The following is a 26,194-nucleotide window of genomic DNA, read 5'->3' on the forward strand; positions in this document are numbered from 1 at the left end:
CGAGGTGGGAGGACTGTTTGAGATCAGGACTTATAGACCAGCCTGGGCAACATGGTGAAACCCTGTCTCTACAAACAATACAAAAATTAGCCGGGCATGGTGGTGCCTGCCCATGGTCCCAGCTACTTGGGGGCTTGAGGCAGGGGATTGCTTGAGCCTGGGAGATTGAAACTGCAGTGAGCCGTGATCGCACCACTGCACTCCAGCCTGGGAGACAGAGTGGGACCCTATCTCAAAAAACAAAACAACAACAAAAAAGATTAGTATCTTTAATATAAGACAAACTCTTTTCATGTGTAAATATGAAAACCTACTAGAAATGGGCAAAGAACACAATAGAAATTTCACAAAAAAGACATGCCAGTAGCTAGCAAGCATATCCTCATAAGCATATGCAAAAAAAATTTTCCTCTGCTCATAAATTGGCAGGGATTGTACTTAAGAAAGGAGAGAATAAAGACAGGAAATTAGGAGATGGAGGGTCTAAACCATGTCTGTGATATTAGGAATAGGAATGATTTGAGGCACAGAGTTGGAAAAAACAAAATAAAAAACATCTACTGACTGCTTTCCATGTATTTACACTATTTATTTTAATCATTACATCAATCCTATAAGTTATTACCTCAGTTTTAAAAATGAAAGAACAAAGAGTCTAAAGTTTAAGTATCTTGATTCTGGCTATTCACTCAGCAAATATTTACTGAACACCTACTGTGTGTTCAGTACTGGGCGACTAAGAAACATAAACAAACAGGTTGGGCGCGGTGGCTCACACCTGTAATCCCAGCACTTTGGGAGGTCGAGGCGGGCAGATCACGAGGTCAGGAGATCGAGACCATCCTGGCTAACACGGTGAAACCCCGTCTCTACTAAAAATACAAAAAATTAGCCGGGCGAGGTGCCGGGTGCCTGTAGTCCCAGCTACTCGGGAGGCTGAGGCAGCAGAATGGCATGAACCCGGGAGGCGGAGCTGGCAGTGAGCCAAGATCGCGCCACTGCACTCCAGCCTGGGCAACAGAGCGAGACTCCGTCTCAAAAAAAAAAAAAAGGAAAGAAACATAAACAAACAAAATAAACAAATATTCATGCTCTCATGGAGCTTAGATTCTGGCAAATAAATACATACATGGCATTTACATGTAAAGAAAGCTCATTTTTTTCCCCTAGTATACCACCCTGATTCTATACCTCAGTTTCATACAGGAATAACAATAGTTCCAAGATGCTATTAATTTTTCTAGCTTGGAAACTGATAAGATTTGTAAAGATGTTGTTCCCAATCAATCAGATAAACATAGAAAGAACAGTGAAATGAAAATGAGGTTGGTTTGAGACGTGCTGATTTTTATGGTGTCTTCCTCATGTCTACTGGTTCAATAAATAGCAACTGGAAACAGGGGAATGGGCTCAGCCCATGTGAGCGCTAGGGCTAGGAACAGCAATTGTGAATGCCACAGGGGGACACGCAACAACCCAGAAACACAGTAGAAAGAACCAACAGTGAGACAGCCCAGGACTGAACCTATATTTAAAGGGCTGAAGGGGAAAGAGAAAGGAATTAATATTATCTTGAAATTTAAAGAGAGTTTAAATGAAGGAGAAAATGTTCATTTATTTTGAAATTATTTCTTGGCCAGGTGCAGTGGCTCACACTTGTAATCCCAGCACTTTGGGAGGCCAAGGCGGGCAAATCACTTGAAGTCAGGAGCTCGAGACCAGCCTCGCCAGCATGGTGAAACCCTGTCTCTACTAAAAATACAAAAATTACCCAGGCATTGTGGTGGAGCACCCATAATCCCAGCTATTCAGGGAGGCTGAGGCAGGAGAATCGCTTGAACCCAGAAGGCAGAGGTTATAGTAAGATGAGATCGCGCCACTGCACTCCAGCCTGGGTGACCAAGCAAGATTCCGTCTCAAATAAAAATAAAATCAAATAAAAATAAAAATAAAATAAAATATAAAATAATTTCTAAATTTTTAAAAAATGGCACATGCACAGAGAAAATTAAAATAATGCTAAAAAGCTATTAATGAAAAACAGCAGTTCTCCCACTTCCAAGAGGCAGTTACTTTCAATGTTTTTGGTAGTTTTTCCTCAAAAAATATATACTTCCATACTAAAAAAAATTTTAAAGCTATATTTATCTGTTTTGAATATATTACTATTTGTCCATGTTATACAAAATCCAAAGGATAACTGTAGAAAGCATGTCTCCCTTCTAAGTGCCCTCCCCAGAGGCAACCAGTTAAGAATTTTTTACTGCATTCTTCCAGATAAAACATATACAAATATATATACATGTTATTTTGCTGTAGAAACGGCAGCATACTATATGCATTCTTCCGTACCTTGTTTTTTTCACGTTAATAAAAGATCTCAAAGATCACTTCACATCATTTGTTATAAAGAGCTTCCTTATTCTTTCTTAAGCTGCATTGCATTCCTTTGTATAGATGTGTCATAGTTTCAGGGGACCTCAGTTGATAAGACATTTGATTGTTTTCATTCATTTGCCATTTTAAGAAATGCTGTAAAATCTATAAAGACAGGAAGCAGTTTAGTGGCTGCCTGGGGCTGAGGCAACCACTAAACTGCTTCCTGTCTTTATAGATTTTATTACTATAAAATTGCAGTAAGTCTCACCAACTCAAAGAAAAGCAATTTACCTCCCTAAAATGAATATGTCTTTGTTAGAATGTGGGTGAAAATAATTTGGATCACTAAAAGAGGCTCACTATATCCTGTTTAATACACATTTATTTACAAATAAACATGTGTATATGAAAGTAAATTGTAGCCCTATCTGTCCTCTGATGGATTTATAAAACTCTAACTTGTAAAATTAAAGTATATCTACTTGTCATAAAAAATAAAGTAATTTATTAGGAAGATAGCATCTTAAAGTCTTAAATACATGTTTCAAGATAGAAAAAAAGACTTACCGTCCAAAATTTTATAAAGTACTCTAAAACTGTTGCAGCCACGAAAAGGCAATATAATAGGGAATACAATAAAAACAGCAGGAAGAATTTGTAATTAGAAAATCCCACACAGTTATTCACCCTGGAAAAATAAAGAAAGCCACATTATAAAAGTAAGACAAATCACAAATTCACAGAAATAGAAAGTAGGATGGAGGCTGCCAGGGGCTGGTGTGGTGTGGGGAAGGGGAGCTTTTTAATGCGAATAAAATTTCAGTTTTGCAGGATGAAAAAGTTCTGGAGATTAATTGCACAACAATTTGAACATACTTAACACTACTGAACTGTACCCTAAGAAATGGTTAACATGGTACATCTTATGGGAGTCTCATTCTGTTGCCCAGGCTGGAGTGCAGTGGCACAATCTCGGCTCACTGCAACCTCTGCCTCCCAGGTTCACGTGATTCTCCTGCCTCAGACTCCCAAGTAGCTGGGATTACAGGCGCCCAACACAACAGCCGGCTAATTTTTGTATTTTTAGTAGAGATGGGGTTTCACCATGTTGCCCAGGCTGGTCTTGAACTCCTGACCTCTTCGATGTTTTTTAAAACAATTAAAACATAATAATTAAAAAAAATAAATTGGGCCGAGTGCAGTGGCTCATGCCTGTAATCCTAGTACTTTGGGAGGCCAAGGCGGGTGGACTGCTTAAGCCCAGGAGTGCAAGACCAGCATGGGCAACATGGAGAGACCCCATCTCTATTAAAAATACAAAAAATCAGCCAGGCGTGGTGGTGCATGCCTGCAGTCCCAGCTACTTGAGAGACTGAGGTGGAAGAATCACCTGAGCCCAGAAGGTCAAGGCTGCAGTGAGACAAGATCATGCCACTGTACTACAGCCTGGGCAACCAGAGACCCTGTTTCAAAAATAAAATAAAACAAAACAAACACAAAGAAAGACAAATCAGAAAACTAGAAAACTTAATCATTATTACCTAGAAATGGGTCATCTGGGAAGTTGAGTGGTGTCTTAATTGTGAATGTTTGTATTTAATAAATTCCATAAGGAATGTGGAATTTTAATGTTAATTCTTAATACATTGTTATTTGGGTTAATTTCAGCAGATATTTTAATAGAAACCATTTAATATAACTGTTTACATACAAATCTATGCATATATGTAAAGAGATCAATCTTAATATCTATGAGTAAACTGGCCTTCAAAATTTAGGAATACTGAAGTTACTCTAAATTCTCTCTCTCACCACCAATGCAATTTCTTCTGTTTTTTTATACATACCAAGGACAGTGATGATCCATCTTAAGAATACATCTAGGAAACAAACAAGCATAAGAAAATCCATGCAGAAAAATTCTTCTAATTCTAACTTCTCATAATTTTCTTTTATTTGACTTAAAATTCCCTTTACAACTACATCTTAAGAGAATCAACCCAGAAACTAGGTTAGAGATAATTTCTGATGCTTCCACAAGAATGTTCATAGGTAAAAAGTCATGATTTTTATACTGGGAATTCAGCTGAACATATTCAGCTGCCTTAGACCACATCAAATAATACTGTAATATTTAGATCTGGGCTGGGCACAGTGGCTCATGCGTGTAATTAATTCCAGCACTTTGGGAGGTGGAGGCGATAGGATCATTTGAGGTCATGAGTTCGAGACCAGCCTGGCTGACATAGTGAGACCCTGTCCTGAAAAAAACAAAATTCAGATCTGGTACACAGTACTTGGTACATTAGATCCAGCTAACAAATTAGCTGAAGGAGATAAAATGCAATACAGATGGCCCCTATGTTATTTTAAACATATGCAGGTCATAAAAACAAAAGTTTAGGAGGAAATAAGTCAAAATATTAACACTGATGGGCTTGGAGATGGTTATTTTTCCACATATTCTATAAAATTTTACCCTATGCATAAGCACTACTGTATTTTTGTAATAAAAAAAACCCACCAAACTCCAAATTTGCCTCCCTACTAGAATATGTATTCTATACTTATATGAAGGTAGACCACAGATCATCTAAAAAAAATAACAAAATGAGTAATCTAATACTTAGAAAGTTAAGTAACTGTGTTACTAAAAGTCAAGGATTATCTGGGATTCCAAACTAACGATCTTTCCTTCAACATATTATCTCCTTACATGTACACAAAGACTTACATTAAGCACAAGCATAGACAGCATAAAGTCCAAGAAAATTCTATTAACTGGTATAGGAACTGTTATCAAAGATACAACTTGTGAGTATATTCCAGCTTTTATCAATATTTTTGTCTGCCCTGTATGCACAGCAAATAATGGGAGAGGATGAAGTGTTCTTGTCAAGTGTAAAGCATATAAAATGTTCCTTCCCCTTGCACTTTCCCATCACTGATTTCCAGTGCTAGATATTAAGCATATGTGTGAGTAACACTTACGAGTCACAGGCTGAGCAGTGATGCGCCCGATCAGGTTTAATCAGCTGACATTTTTCACAATATCTGATAGCTACATGAAAGAAGTAAAAGGAAGATGCTGAAGGATGTACAAACTTAACTAATTTGACATTAAAACTTGATTTTCTAAAAAAAATAACTCTGGGTAATTGATAACTAATAATTTTAAAACAATACCAACAATACCAAAATGTATTATACTAGAGAGCTTCTCAAATCAAAATGTCAAGAGATAAAAGAGAACATCAGAATGTAGTTTGCTCAGCAATTTTTAGATGAAAAGTAGATGCAAAGCAAATAAATGACTCATACAAGGTCAAACACCAGGGTGAGTAGCAGAACTAGACCAGAACTCAAGATTTAGTAAGTCCCAGGTCCAGTGTTTTTTTCTATTATACCACAATGCCTACAGTAATATCAAAATTTAGACTTTTAAGGCATCCTGTGGGATTGTTTTTGAAATTCTGAAATAGTTTTATTAAAAAAAAAAAACACTTTTTATCTGCCATCCCTACCCCAGATAAACAATAAAACTGGGAATGCATTTTTGAATAAAAACTCTGAATTGTTTTCCACTAAATCCTAATATATACTATTGTTGCCTAATACATATGTTCATTTAAAATGTATGGAACACCTGCTAGGTGCCAGATATTGTTCATGCCTTCACAGACCTTTCATTTTACAGGAAGCAATGGGGAGTAATAATAAACAAGTTAACAAAATAAATAATGTATTAGACAGTGATAATATAGATAGCAGGGAAGGAAACATTGGGGAATTGTAATTTTAGAAAGATGTGAGAAAAATGAAATTGAAAGAAGCAAGTTAGTGAGTCATGTCCCTCAGGGAGAAAGAAGTTGCTTTTTTGTTTGTTTTTTTGTTTTTTCTGGGACGGAGTGTCGCTCCGTCGCCCAGGCTGGAGTGCAGTTGCACGATCTCGGCTCACTGCAACCTCCGCCTCCTGGGTTCAAGCAATTCTCCTGCCTCAGCCTCCCGAGTAGCTGGGACAACAGGTGTGCGCCATCATGCCCAGGTAATTTTTGTATTTTTAGTAGAGACAGGGTTTCACCATATTGGTCAGGCTGGTCTCGAACTCCTGACCTCAGGTGAGTCACCCACCTCGGCCTCCCAAAGTGCTGGGATTACAGGCGTGAGCCACCGTGGCTGGCGGGGAGAATGAGGATTCTAATCAGAGAATGGACCCTGAGGTGTGAGTATGCTTGGCTTGTTCAAGGATTAGCAAAGAAGAGTGATGTTCATTACAGCATTGTTTTTACTAAAACACTAGGAATAACTTGAATTATAAAAATAGTTAACCATCTACTGGTATATCCAGTGAAACACTATGCGGAGTTTAACAAAAATTTTCCATACAGAATACATTTATGACTGGGTGCGGTGGCTCACTTGGAAATAACCAATCTTCTTTCTGTTCTTTGTTTCCACTTTCTTCAGCCTTTTCTAAAGCCGACTTCCCCTGTCCAGCTCATTGGAGCTCCTTTCTATTTTGTAGACTGCATGAGGCCTAGTTCATAAATCATTAATGAAAGGCAATTAGATCTTTCAAACTCAATTTGTTGAAATTTTGGTTTTTGACAACCCTAATATGGAAAAATACAAGGACATTACATGGAAAAAAAGGAATTCAGGGCTGGGCACAGTGGCTCACACCTGTAATCCCAGCACTCTGTCTGGGAGGCTGAGGCGGGTGGATCACGAGGTCAGGAGATTAAGACCATCCTGGCTAACATGGTGAAACCCCGTCTCTACTAAAAAAATACAAAAAATTAGCTGGGCGTGGTGGTGGGCGCTTGTAGTCCCAGCTACTCGGGAGGCTGAGGCAGGAGAATGGCGTGAACGCAGGAGGCGGAGCTTGCAGTGAGCTGAGATCGCGCCACTGCACTCCAACCTGGGTGACAGAGCGAGATTCCATCTCAAAAAAAAAAAAAAAGCAAGTCATGCAGAATAGAGTTCCCATCTCCAAAGGGAAAAGAATATATATTTTCTTTTTATAACTATATACCCTATCCCAATAAAATGCATACATCTTTCGGATGTCAATTAATATATATAACAGGGAAACAGAGTATACTTTGAAGCAATGTTAGAAGCTATAGCTCATAGAAAGCTCTATCCAGGTAACCAAATTTGCATTAGTTAATATTTAGCTATTTGATTGTCACTTGTATATAGTTCTACAATACTCTGTTATATATAAAACATTTCTGCTAGGATACACAAGAAAAGGTGGTAGCCTCTGATGAGTGGTGTCATGGGTGAGATGTGTAGACTCAATCTTTTTTGGTGCCCCTAAAAATTTTTTTTTTTAAATAATGGACATGTATTACTTCTATAATGTAAATAAGAATTTCTCTAGAACAAAGGGAATTTACACAAATATCTACTTATTAAATGTTATTTTTAACAAAAATCATTTTCATTTATTTAAGCCTTTAAAATAAAATATTCATTTAATATGATACAGAGGCAATAAAATACATAATTTAATTGACTTTTCAAATTCATTTAAAAATAGAGAGCTACCGCTTTAGAAATCTAGCTCAGCTATTTTTTTCCCTCTAGCACATTAGGGAAAAAGACACAAGTCACAAGATAATCCCACATCACATAAGAAAGCCAAGTTCTGTCTCACTCACCTGTCTTGATCAACAGGGAGGAAAAACCTGTTTGCTGCAGCTGCTGGCATCTGGGCCCTTGATTTTGGGTGTGTTGAAATTACCATATGAGTTCTCAGGGTGCTTTTAGTGCACCTGTTTTCTGATTGATGAGCAATGTGTAGGAGGTACTTAGCTGCTAGACTGAAAATCTTCCTTTTCCACTACTGGGAGCATATTCTTTGACACTCTCTAAGAAGGAAATCTGTACACCCTCTCCTCCACTATCGCTTAAAATTATTTAGTCCATTTTAGTATTTGTCTAATGATGGAAAAATATGGAGACCTATTCAACTGTAAATGAAAACCTTATATAAAAAGATAAATGCTACAAATTTTAAAAGCAGAATCCCTCATCACTTAATTGGAAGGGCTAAGTTAAGTCCCTGCTTCCATAATGCTTGGGTGCACCAGCAGGATCTGAACTCAGAACATACAAATGCAAAAAGCCCTTTCAGCCAAAACATTTGAAACGGACTCTGTGAGGCAGTGAAAACATCCAACGTAAAATGGAACAAAACCACTAAGGACTGAGTGGTTAAGATTGTGTATTCTGATTGCTGCAGAATGAGGGAAAGGAAATTAAATCAGATCTTAACTGAAAGCCCAACACTTGACCAGTTATTTCCCCCTGGCAGCCATAAACCCCTGCTGCCATATATCAAATACTCCTGGCTTCCCTTGGCTACACCTACTTACAGCATCTAAGCAACTTGCCTGGCTGGTGGGTCCCTTCTGACTTTTGGGCCCTGGGACATCTTCTCTTTTTCAAATACTGTTTAATACTCATTTCCCGATCACTCCTGGACTTGATTCTTCTTATACTACTTACTCCTGCACATCTAATTGACTCTAGTTAAGCATTTCAACCAGGTTTCTGTTATTTGTGCTTTTCTATGTTTTTATTATTATACTTTGTTATAAAATAGATGTGTAGAACATACAGGTTTGTTACATAGGTATACATGTGCCATGGTGGTTTGCTGCACCTATCAATCTGTCATCTACAATAGGTATTTCTCCTAATGCTATCCCTCCCCTTCCCCTCCACCCCCCGACAGGCCCCAGTGTGTGATGTTCCCCTCCCTGTGTCCATATGATCTCATTGTTCAACTCCCACTTATAAGTGAGAACATGCAGTGTTTGGTTTTCTGCTCCTGTGTTAGTTTGCTGAAAATGATGGCTTCCAGCTTCATCCATGTCCCTGCAAAGGACATGAACTCATTCTTTTTTATGGCTGCATAGTATTCCATGGTGTATATATGCCACATTTTCTTTATCCAGTCTATCACTGATGGGCATTTGGGTTGGTTCCAAGTCTTCGCTATTGTGAACAGTGCTGCAATAAACATACATGTGCATGTGTCTTTACAGAATGATTTATAATCCTTTGGGTATATACCCAGTAATAGGATTGCTGGGTCAAATGGTATTTCTGGTTCTAGATCCTTGAGGAATCGCCGCGCTGTCTTCCACAATCGTTGAGCTAATTTACACTCCCACAAACAGTGTAAAAGTGTTTCTATTTCTTTGTCACCCAGGCTGGAGTGCAGTGGCGTGATCTCAGCTCACTGCAACCTCCATCTCCCAGGTTCAAGTGATTCTCCTGCCTCAGCCTCTTGAGTAGCTGGGATTACAGGTGCCCGCCACCAGGTCCAGCTAATTTTTTTTTGTATTTTGTTTAGTAGAGATGGGGTTTCACCATGTTGGTCAGGCTGGTCTCGAACTCCTGACCTTGTGATCCACCTGCCTCGGCCTCCCAAAGTGCTGGGATTATAGGTGTGAGCCACCACACCCAGTTTCTTTCCTGACTTTTTAATGATCGCCATTCTAACTGGTGTGAGATGGTATCTCATTGTGGTTTTGATTTGCATTTCTCTAATGACCAGTGATAATGAGCTTTTTAAAATATGTTTGTTGGTCACATAAATGTCTTCTTTTGAAAAGTGTCTGTTCATACCCTTCGCCCACATTTTGATGAGGTTGTTTTTTTCTTGGAAATATAAGTTCCTTGTAGATTCTGGAGATTAGCCCTTTGTCAGATGGATAGATTGCAAAAATTTTCTCCCATTCTGTAGGTTGCCTGTTCACTCTGATGATAGTTTCTTTTGCTGTGCAGAAGCTCTTTAATTAGATGCCAATTGTCAATTTTGGCTTTTGTTGCAATTGCTTTTGGTGTTTTAGTCATTAAGTCTTTGCCCATGCATATATCCTGAATGGTGTTGCCTAGATTTTCTTCTAGGGTTTTTATGGTTTTAGGTCTTATATTTAAATCTTTAATCCATCTTGAGTTAATTTTTGTATAAGGTGTAAGGAAGAGATCCAGTTTCAGTTTTCTGCATGTGGCTAGCCAGTTTTCCCAACACAATTTATTAAATAGGGAATCCTTTCCCCATTGTTTGTTTTTGTCAGGTTTGTCAAAGATCAGATGGTTGTAGATGTGTGGTGTTATTTCTGAGGCCTCTGTTTTGTTCCATTGGTCTATATATCGGTTTTGGCACCAATACCATGCTGTTTTGGTTACTGTAGCCTTGTAGTATAGTTTGAGGTCAGGTAATGTGATGCCTCCATCTTTGTTCTTTTTGCTTAGGATTGTCTCGGCTATACAGGCTCTTTTTTTGGTTCCACATGAAATTTAAAGTAGTTTTTTCTAATTCTGTGAAGAAAGTCAATGGTAGCTTGATGGGAATAGCATTGAATCTATAAATTACTTTGGGCAGCATGGCCATTTTCACGATATTGATTCTTCCTATCCATGAGCATGGAATGTTCTTCCATTTGTTTGTGTCCTCTTTTATTTCCTTGAGCAGTGGTTTGTAGTTCTCCTTGAAGAGCTCCTTCACATCCCTTGTAAGCTTATTCCTAGGTATTTTATTATCTTTGTAGCAATTGTGAATGGGAGGTCACTCATGATTTGGCTGTTTGTCTATTATTGGCGTATAGGAATGCTTGTGATTTTTGCGCATTGGTTTTGTATCCTGAGACTTTGCTGAAGTTGCTTATCAGCTTAAGGAGTTTTGGGGCTGGGACGATGGGGTTTTCTAAATATACAATCATGTCATCTGCACAGATAATTTGACTTCCTCTCTTCCTATTTGAATACCCTTTATTTCTTTCTCTTGCCTTATTGCCTTAGCCAGAACTTCCAATACTATGTTGAATAGGAGTGGTGAGAGAGGACATTCTTGTTTTGTGCCAGTTTTCAAAGGGAATGCTTCCAGCTTTTGCCCATTCAGTATGATATTGGCTGTGGGTTTGTCATAAATAGGTCTTATTATTTTGAGATGCGTTCCATCAATACCTAGTTTATTGAGTGTTTTTAGCATGAAAGGTTGCTGAATTTTATTGAAGGCCTTTTCTGCATCTATTGAGATAATTATGTGGTTTTTGTCATTGGTTCGATGTGATGGATTACATTTATCGATTTGTGTATATTGAACCAGCCTTGCATCCCAGGGATGAAGCCAACTTGATCATAGTGGATAAGCTTTTTAATGTGCTGCTGGATTCAGTCTGCCAGTATTTTATTGAGGATTTTCACATTGATGTTCATCAGGGATATTGGCCTGAAATTTTCTTTTTTTGTCACATCTCTGCTAGGTTTCGGTATCAGGATGATGCTGGCCTCATAAAATGAGTTAGGGAGGAGTCCCCCTTTTTCTATTGTTTAGAATAGTTTTAGAAGGAATGGTACCACCTCCTCTTTGTACCTCTGGTAGAATTTGGCTGTGAATCCGTCTGGTCCTGGGCTTGTTTTGGTTGGTAGGCTATTAACTACTGCCTCAATTTCAGAACTTGTTATTGGTCAATTCAGGGATTCCACTTCTTCCTGGTTTAGTTTTGGGAGGGTATATGTGTCCAGGAATTTATCCATTTCTTCCAGATTTTCTAGTTTATTTGTGTAGAGGTGTTTATGGTATTCTCTGATGGTAGTTTGTATTTCTGTGGGATCAGTGGTGATATCCCCTTTATCATTTTTTTATTGTGTCTATTTGATTCTTCTCTCTTTTATTCTTTATTAGTCTGGCTAGTGGTCTATTTTGTTAATCTTTTTTAAAAGAGTCCCATATTTCTTGGAGGCTCTGTTCGTTCCTTTTCATTCTTTTTTCTCTAATCTTGTCTTTATGCTTTATTTCATCAAGTTGATCTTCAATCACTGATATCCTTTCTTCTACTTGATCGATTCAGCTATTGATACTTGTGTATGCTTCACAAAGTTCTCGTGGTGTGTTTTTCAGCTCCATCAAGTCAAAGGTTCTTCTCTAAACTGGTTATTCCAGTTAGCAGTTCCCATATCTTTATATCAAGGTTCTTGGCTTCCTTGCATTTGGTTAGAACATGCTCCTTTAGCTCAGCGGAGTTTATTATCCACCTTCTGAAGCCTACTTCTGTCAATCTGTCAAACTCAATCTCGGTCCAGTTTTGTTCCCTTGCTGGCAAGGAGTTGTGACCCTTTGGAGGAGGAGAGGCATTCTGGTTTTGGAATTTTCAGCCTTTTTGCACTGGTTTTTCCTCATCTTCGTGGATTTATCTACCTTTGGTCTTTCATGTTGGTGACCTTCAGATGGGGTTTTTTTGTGGTCATCCTTTCTGTTGATGTTGATGCTACTGCTTTCTGTTTGTTAGTCTTCCTTCTAACAGTCAGGCCCCTCTTCTGCAGATCTCCTGGAGTTTGCTGGAAGTCCACTCCAGACCCTGTTTGCCTGGGTATCACCAGCGGAGGCTGCAGAACAGCAAAGATTGCTGCCTGCTCCTTCCTCTGGAAGCTTCCTCCCAGAGGGGCACCCTCTAGATGTCAGCTGCAGCTCTCCTGTATGAGGTGTCTCCCAGTCAGGAGGCATGGGGGTCAGGGACCTACTTGAGGCAGTCTGTCCCTTAGCAGAGCTCGAGTACTGTGCTGGGTGATCAGCTGCTCTCTTCAGAGCCAGCAGACAGGAACGTTTAAGTCTGCTGAAGCTGTGCCTACAGCTGCCTCTTCCCCCAGGTGCTGTGTCCCAGGGAGATGGGAGTTTTATCTATAAGCCCCTGACTGAGGCTGCTGCCTTTCTTTCAGAGATGCCCTGCCCAGAGAGGATGAATCAAGAGAGGCAGTCTGGCTACAGTGCCTTTGCAGAGCTGTGGTGGGCTCTGCCCAGTGGGAACTTCCTGGCGGCTTTGTTTACACTGTGAGGGGAAAATCCACTTACTCAAGCCTCAGTAATGGCAGAAGCCCCTCCCCCCACCAAGCTCCAGCGTCCCAGGTCAACTTCAGACTGCTGTGCTGGCAGCAAGAATTTCAAGCCAGTGGATCTTAGCTTGTTGGGGTCTGTGGAGGTGGGATCTGCTGAGCAAGACCACTCAGCTCCCTAGCTTCAACCCCCTTTCCAGGAGAAGGAACAGTTCTGTCTTGCTGGCGTGCCAGGTGCCACTGGGGTACGAAAAAAAACTCCTGCAGCTAGCTCAGTGTCTGCCCAAATGGCCACCCACTTTTGTGCTTGAAACCCAGGGCCCTGGTGGTGTAGGCACCCGAGGGAATCTCCTGGTCTGTGGGTTGCGAAGACCGTGGGAAAAGCATAGTGTCTGGGCCGAATAGCACTGTCCCTCACGGCACAGTCCCTCATGGCTTCCCTTGGCTAGGGGAGGGAGTTCCCCGACCCCTTGTGCTTCCCGGGTGAGGCGACGCCCTACCCTGCTTCTGCTCATCCTCTGTGGGCTCCACCCACTGTCTAACCAGTCCCAATGAGATGAAGAGGGTACCTCAGTTGGAAATGCAAAAATCACCTGCCTTCTGCGTTGGTCTCACTGGGAGCTGCAGACTGGAGCTGTTCCTATTTGGCCATCTTGCCCCGATTGACCGAGTATGTTATATTTTATTGAGGGCCTTCTATAACACCTTGCCTGGGTTAGGCACTAGGGAGGTAAAACCATATAATGTAGAAAAAGTAGAGCTATAAAGGACCTTAGAGATTTCCTAGTTCAATCTCTCCATTTTACAGATCAAAGACACCCCAAAGGTTAGAAAGTCATCTGTTGAAGGTTGTATGGCTAAGCGAGTGGTAACATCAGGAATGAGTATCTTCTTTTCTCTTTCCCCTACCCTTCTCCACTCAACATTCTGACATTGCAAAGGCTGTGAAATTACCTAGGCTCTGAGATGGGATTAAACCAAACAGACCTTGTAAGAAAAGGAGGCTTGATGACTGAGCAGAATGAACTCAAAAAGTAGCAATCAAAGGAAATCTGAGTTTCTAGGGTAGCTAGAAGAATGACGGTGCCAAGGATAGAAATAGAGCTGAGTTTGTGTGAGGGTAGTGTTTTTCATTAACAAATATTTAGAGTTTCTACCACGTGACAAATACTGCTAGATGCAGGAAATATAGAAGTGAACGAGGCAGACTTTTGGCCCCTCCCCCAAGATATTAGGTTTTAAATGATGAATCCAGTATTGTAGGAGCTTGAAGCTTTGCATAATAGGCCATTCAAGTACAGCTATCCTTTGGAAGCTGCAAATACACGAGTGGAGCTCTAGTGAGAGCTACAAACGCTGGATTGAAGGGCACATGCCAAGGTGAATGATGAAGTCTTGATAGTGGCGATTGGATGCTCTGGGCAGAGGTCTGCAGCTCCCACCTCTGAAACAACAGGAAGGGTGCTGCATCCCAGGGTGCAGCTAGATTGCAGACCACTCTGTAGACGTGCAATCCTTGAATGCAGCTGCAAATCTACCCCTGGGCCTGGCACACAAGAAAGGGTTTGGAATGTAGGTGAATGCCAGTATGTTAACATCCTTGAATCTGTTGTAATTTCTATTAAGAAGGTAACTCATTACTGAAAACTATTAAATAAAACAAATTATGCAGCACAATAAGCAAATGATCACAATATTGTGGTACTAGAATTCCAAGGCTAAAAGTAACAGGTGAAAGGACAGTACAGAAAAAATGGGGTAAGGCACCACTGTGAAGTTAAGACATAGGAGAAAACAACAAATGTGGGATGAAGAAGAACAATCATACAAGTAAACAAAAACAGAAGTATAAAACTACTGAAAAACACAAAGAGGAAAGCGTTTCAAGAAGACAGAATGACAAAACGCCACTGATCCTGGTAGGGAGAATGAAAGCCCGTTGCCTGGAATTCACTAGAAGGAAGTGAGGCCCTGGATACAGACCACCTAGAAGACCTACAATCAAGGGAAAATGAAATAAAATAATAGGCCAGACACGGTGGCTCACACTTGTAATCCCAGCACTTTGGGAGGCCAAAGTGGGCAGATCACTTGAGGCCAGGAATTCGAGACCAGCCTGGCCAACATAGTGAAACCCCATCTCTACTAAAAATACAAAAATTAGCCGGGTTTGGTGGCATGTGCCTGCAATCCCACCTACTCAGGAGGCTGAGGCAGGAAATCACTTGAACCCTGGGGGTGGAAGTTGCAGTGAGCTGAGACTGCACCATTGCACTCAAGCCTGGGCCACAGAGCGAGACTCCGTCTCAAAAAAAAAAAAAAAAAAAAAAAACAATTTCCCAAACAACAAAAAAAAATTCTTTTAAATAAACAAAATAAAACAATTCCCTGTATTTAAACGACCAGCCACTTATAGACTCTTCCCTGTCATAAGATTACAACCTAGGAACAGGAAGCTGCTGTTACAGTCATGGATCTCAGTGGAAGCATTAGTACAGAGGAAACACCAAGGGCTTTGGAACTAGACAAACCTGAGTTCACAGCCTGACTCTCAGAATATTAGCCTTATACATCTGAACAAGTTTCTTCCTATTTGTGTCTCTTACTGTTCCCCATTCTTAGCACACTTTTGGATTTTTTTTTAATTACTCAGTGATGACACATAATACTCAAATTCAGACTTCCAAATGACAGTTTACTAAGAATAATAATTAAAATTTTTAGCCATGAAAGTTGAGTTGGGGGAAAAAAACAAGTACAGAAGAGATTCATATTAAAGCGGGCCCCTTAAACAATTTATATTGATTATTATTTTTATATATCTATTTCTGCATCTGAAATACAGTAAGGAAACAGGAAAGTCTTGTTGCTACAGATATTATTTATGGCAATCATAGTATCCATTTAATAGTCAAACCATGCAAATATATCCTGGCAGGAATAAGCATACTTTAAAAATCATTTGAAAAGGAAAACTTATTCTTTTTCTTACTTTTTGAAGCTGATGTGGTATAGATAGGTAAAGCTCTTGCTGCTCTTCTCAAAATTTCTTGTTGTCTTTCTTGGCTGAATTCTTTTTCATAACGTTCCTTTTCAGAATTGGACAAGTAGAACTATAAAAGGAAAGAGGACTATTAAATTTTTTTAATCCCATGATGTTAATTATCATGCTCAGAAAAAGTTTTATCTAGAAAAAAGAAAACCAAAAACTATTTTATGAAGACAAAACTTGTCTTCAAAAAAAAGCAGATAAATCAAGTACATTTTAACAAAAACTGTATACCTTTGGCATATTAAAAAATATTTGCCCTCCACACCAGATGGCAAAGAATATGAACTAAATATTTTTCCATCTTCGTTTTTCACAAATAAAATTAAATTTCTACACAGGAAAGGCTTAATATATAGTCTCCATTAGTAAAAATTTTAGTTGTTTAAAAGTTACTGTCAAGAGATTTTTAATTTTTGCAAGAATGTCCAAAGATTTACTTGCTTTGGGTGAAAGGCTAAATCACAGTCATGGGGTCCCGCTAATTTCTAGCCAAATGTCTCATGAAGGCCAAGGAGTCTTTTTTTTTTTTTTTTTAACCATTTTTAGCTTTCGAAAAGTTAACCAATAGGACTTAGTTTCACCAGAATTATGAAAGATTGTCAAGGCAAGCATAGTTGCCTTTTCAAGGACAGAGTCCTTTATAGACCTTTTTTTTTTCTTTTTTTTTGAGACGGAGTCTTGCTCTGTCGCCCAGGCTAGAGTGCAGTGGAGTGATTTCGGCTCACTGCAAGCTCCGCCTCCCGGGTTCATGCCATTCTCCTGCCTCAGCCTCCCGAGTAGCTGGGACTACAGGCGCACGCCACTATGCCCGGATAATTTTTTTTTTTTTTTTTGTATTTTTAGTAGAGGCGAGGTTTCACCGTGTTAGCCAGGATGGTCTCGATCTCCTGACCTCGTGATCTGCCCGCCTTGGCCTCCCAAAGTGGTGGGATTACAGGCGTGAGCCACCGCGCCCGGCCTAGGGCTGTTTCTTGTTTTCACTTCTTACTGTTTGTTCCCATGTGTGGCCAGCCTCTGGTTCGTTTCTCTTAATAGCATTTTCCCTTCAGAGTACTTGTTTATGTTTAATTGTTCTTTTCATATGTCATCCTAACATCTCAAGGATCCTAAGTTTTACACCTTAATTTCATGTTACCAGGAACTACAGGTTTCTATCAGTCTTTATTTCATAGATTAAAAAAAAAACAAAACTAAGAATGGCTTGAGATTTGTTCTTCATTGTGTTTTATATTTTAATAATACAATTCCTCAATTTTTATTTACTTGTAAGGTTCTGCTTAAAAAGCCCTAAGGAATCCTGACTTTCCATGTTTAAGGAGTATTTGGTCTAGTTGCTAACTCAAATACCAAAATGTCTCCTCCTCTTGCTGCCCCATCATTGCTAATGGTATTAGCTTAACAACACGGTATTCTGCTATAAACAAGGCAATAGCTTGGCATAGTAGAGAGAGCTCTGAGTTGAGGAAATTATGATTCTAAGAGACTTAGGCAATTTTCTAAGATTGCAGAACTACTGGCAGAGCCAACAGTAAAATACGGGTCTTCTGTGTTCTACTCTGGTACATTTTCCTCTATATTACAGTGTAAAATAAATGTTTTTGCTTTTTATAGATAGTTACTCTAACCTGACTAAAACACCATACTTTAGGAAATAGAAGAGTCTATTTAGATTACCTAGCTCAGCTTCCACAAGCAAAGTGTGATGGGACAAGAAACCCCCAAATTACTTATGGGGGACAAGAAGCAACATGGACAGATGAACAGGACAGTAAGAAGTCAGGAAAGACTCACATAATCTTAAAGATGAAAAAGTCTTAAAGACAATGGAGGCCCCTTATCTAATCTTCCATCACAAGCAGGGGTCTTCAGACATTTCTGACAGATTGGGCCCCTCTTGAATACTTTGAGAGAAATATTTTTCTATTTTGCAAGATGGCATGTTCTCTTTTAAGAGAATTTTAACTTGTTAGAAAGTTATTTCCTGACATGATGTGTCTCTTACATATTCATAGTAGAGTATAAAAATCACATGGTAACATGTTAAATATATTTGAATAGAAGATGTTCTGATCAAATTTTACAGATTCCTTATAAAACTTCAACAGATTTCCCTGGGCTATCCTATTCCTAGTCTGCAGTAGTATCCCAGGCCTCAAGCCTCTCTACTGCTACTCAACATCATTACTTTTCCTTAAGAATGAAGGTTATGGGCTGGGTGTGGTGGCTCACATCTATAATCCCAGCACTTTGGGAGGCCGAAGCTGGTGGATCACGAGGTCAGGAATTCAAGACCAGCCTGGCCAACATGATGAAACCCCCGCCTCTACTAAAAAAAATACAAAAATTAGCTGGGTGTGGTGGCATGCGCCTGTAGTCCCAGCTACTCGGGAGGCTGAGGCAGGAGAATTGCTTGAACCCGGGAGGTGGAGGTTGCAGTGAGCCGAGGTCACACCACTACACTCCAGCCTGGTGACAGAGTGAGACTCCATCTCAAAAAAAAAAAAAAAAAAAAGAATGAAGGTTATAAAATTATGAAAAGCTTAAACCAAACGAAAATTTCAAGAGACATCAGAATTTTAGATGAGGAATGGAACAAAACAAATATTCAAACAGATCATAATTTTGAATTAGTACTACAAGTTTGTCTTTTTATTCAAAACTAGTGAACAGAATTCAAACTATGAAATGCTATTATTGTCTTAAATTCAGTGTTCAGACAGTTCTATTTAAATATATATTAAATGCCAATTAAGAGTGAGGTGTTGTCCCAGATATCAGAGATCCAAAGATGAATAAAAACAACCATTGCCTTCAAAAAGTATATTTCTATAGTCTAGTAAGAGAGCCATATAAACAAAGAATTACAAAATACGAATCAGCATAAAGTACAACATTAATAATATATTACAAGGTATGATAAAAGCTCCCTTGGGAGGCAGTGGGAGATATCAATGAAAGTTTCTTGAAGGCAGTGTACCTAAGTTTTGAAAGATAAACAGGAATCTTTCAGGAAGACAGAGAAGAAAAGAAAATCTTGGCAAAGGGAACAGCATACAGAAAGCACAAGGATGTGAAAATAGTACAGTATATTCAGCTCAATACACTGCTTGAGTATAGAGTTCCATGAAGAAGCAATGAAGATTAAATTAGTAAGATTTTAGTTCATGAAGGGATTTGGTGTACCATGCAAACGAACATGACCTTTATCTTACAGCTAACTGGCAAACTCTGTAGGATTATAGTCAGGGAAGGGATGGGAAATACCTATCAGCTATTCACATGCTGCCGCCTCTTCCTCACCATTTCTTCATTTAAGTCTTTATCAATCGGCCTGTTATATACGAGGTCTGATTCTAAGTACTGGGGATACAGGAATAAACAACAAAGATTTTTCCTTCAAAAAGCTTAGTGGAAGAGATACTTATAAAGGTCTCAGCTTAAATACCACTTCCTCGGAGATTTATCTGACTATACTATCTAAAGTAGCTCTTTCTCCCCGAAAGTAGCTTTTACTTTGTTCTACTCTATCATATTACCATGTTATTTTTCTAAATTTATCACAATTTTTAATTATTTGTTTACTGTCTGTCTCTACCTTTAAGCCTAGCACAGTCTGATATCCGGTGGGTGGTCAAGAAGTACTGGATTGAAACAATGAAAAAAAGAAAAGACACCCCACCCGTATTTATAACTTAACTTCCTTAAAGATTTATAGTTTTTACTTTTTATTATTATTATTATTTTTGAGACAGAGTTTCACTCTTGTTGCCCAGGCTGGAATGCAATGGCGCAATCTTGGCTTACTGCATCCTCTGCCTCCCAGGTTCAAGCAATTCTCCTGCCTCAGCCTCCTAAGCAGCTGGGATTACAGGAGCATGCCACCACACCCGGCTAATTTTGTGTTTTTAGTAGAGATGGGGTTTCACCATGTTGGTCAGGCTGGTCTCGAACTCCTGACCTCAGGTGATCCACCTGCCTCGGCCTCCCAAAGTGCTAGGATTATAGGGGTGAGCCACCACGTCTGGCCCTAGTTTTTGCTTTTTAGACCCAATCAATTCCCCTAGACCTAGATCTCCAAGCATTGTTCTAACCTCTGAGCTGACTGAATCCTCCTAATAAAAGCTGTGAGTTTGGTGTTATATTAGCACCAACTTCTGAGCTGACAGAATCCTCCTAACAAAGCTGTGAGCTTGGTATTACATTAACATCAAATTCACAGCTTTGTAATTGCTTATACAGGCCTACCTCAGTCAGCACACTGTAAGCTCAGTGACAAAGAGAATCTTAAATTCCTGTTCTTGGTTGTCTCTAGAGCTTAGCTTAGCTGGCCCATGAAGATTTAATAATTAATTAATTTAATAGTTACTGAAAATCCACTATGTGCCAGATAGTGTGGGAAGGGATATAGTGCAGAATGCAACGTAAATATCCCTGCCCTCACAATATTTAAAATTTAATAATGTGATGCATATTAGTAAACAGGCAATTACAATACCAGATGATAAGTTCTCTGACAGGGCAAATGGAGCATGCCACAGCAAGGTCACTGGATACAGGCTTGGGCAGTCAGATGACCTTATAGGAGTAGAGGAGAATGAAGGAGAAGTTGATGTAAAGGCTTAAGCTCTGGGCTGAATGCTAAATGGATGCAATATGCTAGAACCACCACCAAAAAAAATAACAACAACATTTTGATGGTACTTATTAGGTGCTAAGCATTCTTCTGAGCCCTTTATATACACTATTAACTCCATATATTAATATCTATTATTAATTACATAGATTGCTAATTTGCTCAATTATTATAGCTATCCTATGAGGTGGGTACTAGTATCACCCTCACTTTACAGAGGAGGGATCAACTAAGGAAAGTCTCCAAAGTCACACAGCTAACATGGCTAGTAGGCTGCAGAAGTATGAGCTAAACCTGAGCAGTTTTAGTCCAGAGTCTGTGTGGTACTGTTGTTGTTGCTGTTGTCTGAGACAGGGTCTCACTCTGCTGCCTGGGCTGCAGTGCAGTGGCATGATCACGGCTCACTGCAGGCTAAACCTTCATGGGCTCAGTGATCCTCCCACCTCAGCCTCCCGAGTAGCTGGGACTACAGGTGCATGCCACCATGCCCAGCTAATTTTTTTTATTCTTTGTAGAGATGGGGTTTGCTACATTGCCAAGGCTGATGTCAAAGTCCTGGGCTAAAGTGATCTGCCTGCCTGCCTTGGCCTTCCGAAGTGCTGGATTACAGGCATAAGCCACCACGCCTGGCCTGCATTCTTAACCTCTACATTATACTGCTTCTCAAAAGTACTACCAATTATTTTTCTTATTCTATTTCTTATTTCCTGAAATGAGAATTATTTACTTTTTACACATGCTATGTTTTCAATAGTCATCACTACTAGTAATTGATTAAATAAAATTAAGTCCTTTTCAATTTCAAGATTAAGAAATGGATAGTTTGTAACATAACTTTAAGGGTTGACTAATTAGTAACAAATGCCTGATGAATACATTTGAAGCAACACTAAAATTTGACTTATAGTTTACTTTACCTTTTAAAACAAAAGCATCTAATAGAAAAAGCAGGCAAAAGACTATACAGCATTACTTGCTAATGTTAAATGTATATATACTAGTTCTACTCCTAGGCATCTATCCAAAAGAACTACATATATATTATCCAAGAGACATGCACTAGAATGTTTATAGCAGCCCTATTTGTAACAGCTCTAAGCTGGAGGCTACCCACATGCTCATCAACAGTAGACCGAGTAAACAAACTGTGTTACATACTACAACTGAATACTAAACAATAATGAGAATGAATGATCTGCAACTATACGTAACACAGATGAATCTTACAAATAGAATGTTAATGAAAGAAGCCACACACACATATGACTATGACTATACACATACACACACCACTAGAAAACTCCATTTATATTTAATACAAAAACAGGCAAAACTAATCTATGCTGTTAGAAGGCAAGAGAGTGGCCTCTTATGAAGTGGATGACTGAAAGGAAGCATCAGGGGTTGACGGGGTTCTGGTAATGTTCTGTTTCTTGAATTGGGTGGTAGTTACACAGGTGTGTACACATATGCATACTTTTTGTATATATGTTCTTCACTGCAAAGTTAAATAGAAGTTGATACTATTTTTAAACATATGGTCTATAATTTTTAATGATTTTGATAAATTTAACACAAAGGGAAACGATTACATTATCATCATCATCTAATATTTGAGTCCTAACAATGTGGCAGGTACACTAGTATTTTAAAAGCTTAGGCCGGGCGTAAATGGCTCACGCCTGTAATCCCAGCACTTTGGGAGGCTGAGGCGGGTGGATCACCCGAGGCCAGGAGTTCAGGACCAGCCTGACCAACATGGGGAAATCCCGTCTCTACTGAAAATACAAAAATTAGCCGGGCATGGTGATGCGTGCCTGTAATCCCAGCTACTCAGGAGGCTGAGGCAGGAGAATCGCTTGAACCTGGGAGGCGGAGGTTGTAGTGAGCCAAGATCGTGCCATCGTACTCCAGCCTGGGTGACAAGAGCGAAACTCCATCTCAATAAATAAATAAATATATAAATACATGCATGTTTTAACTGAATAAACCTCACAATCTTTACAAACATCCTACAGAGACAGGCACAATTGTTAGTTCCATTTTTTGATAAGAAAACTGCAGCTTGGAGAGATTAAATTGTTAGAGCAAAAGATCAAACTCAGACAACTCTAACTCTAGAGAATATATTCTTAACCACCTTGCTATAAGAAATTTTCGGTGAAGGAAGAATTCAGTCAGCTATGGAGAGGTAAGAGAGACACTGGTCATAAAACCTACTCCACATAAATGTTTACCTATATTATTTTCCAAATGGAACCTCCAATTAGAAGAAACACTAGTCATATTAAAGTGCAGCAAGCAATAGCCTAGACAATTTGTTTCCATCACAAAACTTTCTTTAATTGCAGCATATCTGTTCATGCCTGAGAAAATATAAATGTTGAGAGTTTCTAAAAATAAACTCTACTTTCCTAACGCAATTCTGTTCCTTGAGACTTTTTATTCCAGTAATATAAAGTATGTCTTTAAAGACACATAGCATGGCAGAAAAATAGTAAGCATTTCTATACCGCTGAACTTTTACTATGCTGTGTCAGTGGACTGTATCTGAGAATAGGCTGATGACTCACATTCACAGTACAGAGCAACCAAGCAGTTTTATGAATGGAAACAGAACACATGCATTATGTAAAGTTTTAACAAAGGTAACACAAGGGAAAAAAAATTCCATAATCAGTTAAAACATTTGGTAATTTACCAACATTAAATTTACCTCTTTGGAGGGGGAAGCGGGAGATGTGAAAATTGTCATCCAATAGGACCATACAAACATAACAAAGAACAGATGGAAAGCCACAAGGTAAACAACGGTCTTTCCTGGTAAATAAAAACAAATAACAGTTCATTGAATCCAGGTGAAAACAGCAAAAAGCATTACATTAAAACACAATAATTGGGTCAGGAGGCCGAATCCAATAAACAATTAAATTAAAATGTACTGAAACATCAAATATATAAACTTTACTTGCATGAGGAAACATTACTAGATATGAAGAAATATTCTGTTCCTATATTTAAGGATTATCAGTCTGGTTTATAAGATGAGATTTAAGAGGAGATTTGATTGTATTAAATTGCTGAAGATTTAAGCTAAAACACTTTCTTCACGCACTATATTTCAAGTTCTCCAAAAGCTCATTTTAAATGACTTAAAATTATTTAAAACAGAATCTATTACTATGAACATTACATCCAAGGAACTGTCAACTGAAAGTAAATAAGTTACCATCACCATAAATGATGAATACATCTGAGTAACTCATTCCCTGTATTGTTCAGAAAAAGTGACCTAAATTTCATTCCCCTGTTCAATACAGGCTAACAAGAAAAAGTTTTGGCCATTTTGAATATCTAACATAACTGTTTCCCAAGTAGATTAATGTTAACATTCCAAAATATTTCAAAAGATTTTTGTTGTATTCTATATATTTGAAAGAAGCAGTACTGATTTCTTTAAGAAGCAAGAACTATCTATCAGATGCTTAAACTCTTTTTCAGTTTGTAATGCAGCACCATAAACCCACTGAAGATAATAAATTCAGACAAGTCTGAAATTCTACTCATTTTTAAAGTTTAGATAAAATGCTACTCCTTCCACAAAGGTCTTTTCTGTTACTTTCAGAATTCATTACTTCTTCATATTGCACTCTCCAAATAATTTGCTTAGATTTCAATTAAAGTACTTATTTCAGTAAAGTTAGCTGCTTAATACTGATGAGGTAATACATGCAAAACACTTAGAAGGATGCCTGGCACACAATAAATCCTCAATAAATACTGATTATTAATATTATTACTATTAGTCTTATCCAGGTATTTTAATGATTTTCTCCAAAATTTGGTCCTTTTTGTGCATTCCCTTTATCAGTGTTTCTCAATTTTAAGAAGTGATAAAGTGTTCACTGGTCTGCGCTGAAAAAAAAAAAAGAAAAGAAAGACCAAGAACAATGTAAGGAAGCTTTTGTAAAAGCTAACATGTATTCAGTTTGAAGTACTGTCCTTCCTTTGGACTGAGGTTTATTTTCCTTTATGTTTTTGGTTTAAAAATTGCTTGTACTTTTCAAATAAAATAATAATAATAATTGACAACCCTGTTGCAACCCAACCTTTTCTTCTGAAATTGTATTGGGTTCATGCCAGATCTCAGAGAACAGAAACTCCAGTCACGCAGTTGACCAATGCAGAAATCCAGGCCTGAAATGACTCCTTGTATCTCACAGCTTATCAGTACAAATACTACTAATTCTAGCTCCTAAAATTTCTCACCAAGTGAACTCATTATTATTATTTTCGTTATTTTTCAATAATTTCAATAATTATCATTATTTTCACTGCCAGTGCATACTTCATAAATTGTTGCCTACGTTCTTTGGATTGCTGCAAAAGCCAATTGGTCTCCTTGCTTCCAATCCATCTCAGTGGTTGATGTAAAATATGTTGCTCATAGTTTCTTTTCCCTCTTGGCTGTGGAATTCCTAAGAAATAATTCCAACCTCATGACCAGCACATCCTAGTAAAACCCTGGGACTACTCAGTCACCATATTTGACTATAGGTACTCAAATCACCATTCCTATGTACTGAAAGCCAACTAGAAGGCATATAATCTATGCCTTATTTCTAACCCTCACAGTAAGTCTTCTAAGGTATCATTCCAGTTTACAGATGTAAACAGTGAGGCTCAGAGAATTTAATACTTTGCCCAACGTCACTTAGTTATTAAATGATGAAGCCAGAATTCAAACTCATATCTGTTTGACAAAAATCCAAGGTTCTTTTCACTATGTCCTAGCTAAAATTATAGTTTCCTCCACGTTTTAAACCATCATCTTAATGGTCATATTCCACTTCTAAGCCAATATCTGATGCCAAGATAAAATCGTAACCCTAACTTCCTTCTATTTTCAAATGTGCTCTTCTTGTTTCCACTAACATTGATTGTCATACACATTAAAAACTGGTTTCTCAAAATCTGCTCTCTCTATCCTGTCAGTTCCCTTCAGGTTGAACCCCATGGTGTACCCAATGGACTCAGTATCATTGCTTTGGCCAGGTGCAGTGGCTCGTGCCTGTATTCCCAGCACTTTGGGAGGCTGGGGCGGGCGGATCACTTGAGGTCAGGAGTTCAAGACCAGCCTGGCCAACATGGTAGAACTCCATCTCTACCAATACAAAAAATTAGCTGGGCGTAGTGGTGCACACTTGTAATCTCAGCTACTTGGTAGGCTGAGGTGGGAGGATCGCCTAAACCTGGGAGGCAAATGTTGCAGTGAG

General features: G+C 38.8%; 1 protein-coding gene across 16 annotated transcripts in view, besides 1 other annotated feature; it reads right to left on the reverse strand.

Moving 5' to 3' along the window:
• The window catches only part of ZDHHC20 (zDHHC palmitoyltransferase 20), an 86,733-nt gene that overhangs the window by 24,856 nt on the left and 35,683 nt on the right, over nt 1-26,194 (reverse strand). For 11 of the 16 annotated variants that reach the window (NR_104487.2, XR_007063672.1, NM_001286638.2 and 8 more), the window contains 5 exons: nt 23,635-23,738; nt 16,226-16,346; nt 5,371-5,440; nt 4,227-4,259; nt 2,947-3,067 (listed from right to left, as the gene is read on the reverse strand). Coding sequence is in view for 13 of the 16 variants with exons in the window: in NM_153251.4 (NP_694983.2) it covers nt 2,947-3,067; nt 4,227-4,259; nt 5,371-5,440; nt 16,226-16,346; nt 23,635-23,738 (449 nt within the window). In the remaining 3 variants the exon portion in view is untranslated. Of the gene's footprint in view, nt 1-2,946; nt 3,068-4,226; nt 4,260-5,370; nt 5,441-6,798; nt 6,917-16,225; nt 16,347-19,549; nt 19,960-20,780; nt 20,861-23,634; nt 23,739-26,194 lie in introns of those variants that run through there. The other 5 variants (NR_104486.2, XM_017020525.2, XM_047430247.1 and 2 more) reach the window with 5 other exon arrangements.
• Nucleotides 12,372-13,229: an enhancer, noted in NCBI's record as "H3K27ac-H3K4me1 hESC enhancer chr13:21983937-21984794 (GRCh37/hg19 assembly coordinates)". NCBI's record gives its function as "activates a minimal SCP1, AML or CMV promoter by ChIP-STARR-seq in primed H9 embryonic stem cells {active_cell/tissue: H9 hESC(primed)}" and the evidence as "EXISTENCE:reporter gene assay evidence [ECO:0000049][PMID:30033119]".

This window comes from Homo sapiens, chromosome 13, assembly GCF_000001405.40.
Source record: "Homo sapiens chromosome 13, GRCh38.p14 Primary Assembly".
In the NCBI taxonomy this organism is placed as follows: Eukaryota; Metazoa; Chordata; class Mammalia; order Primates; family Hominidae; genus Homo; species Homo sapiens.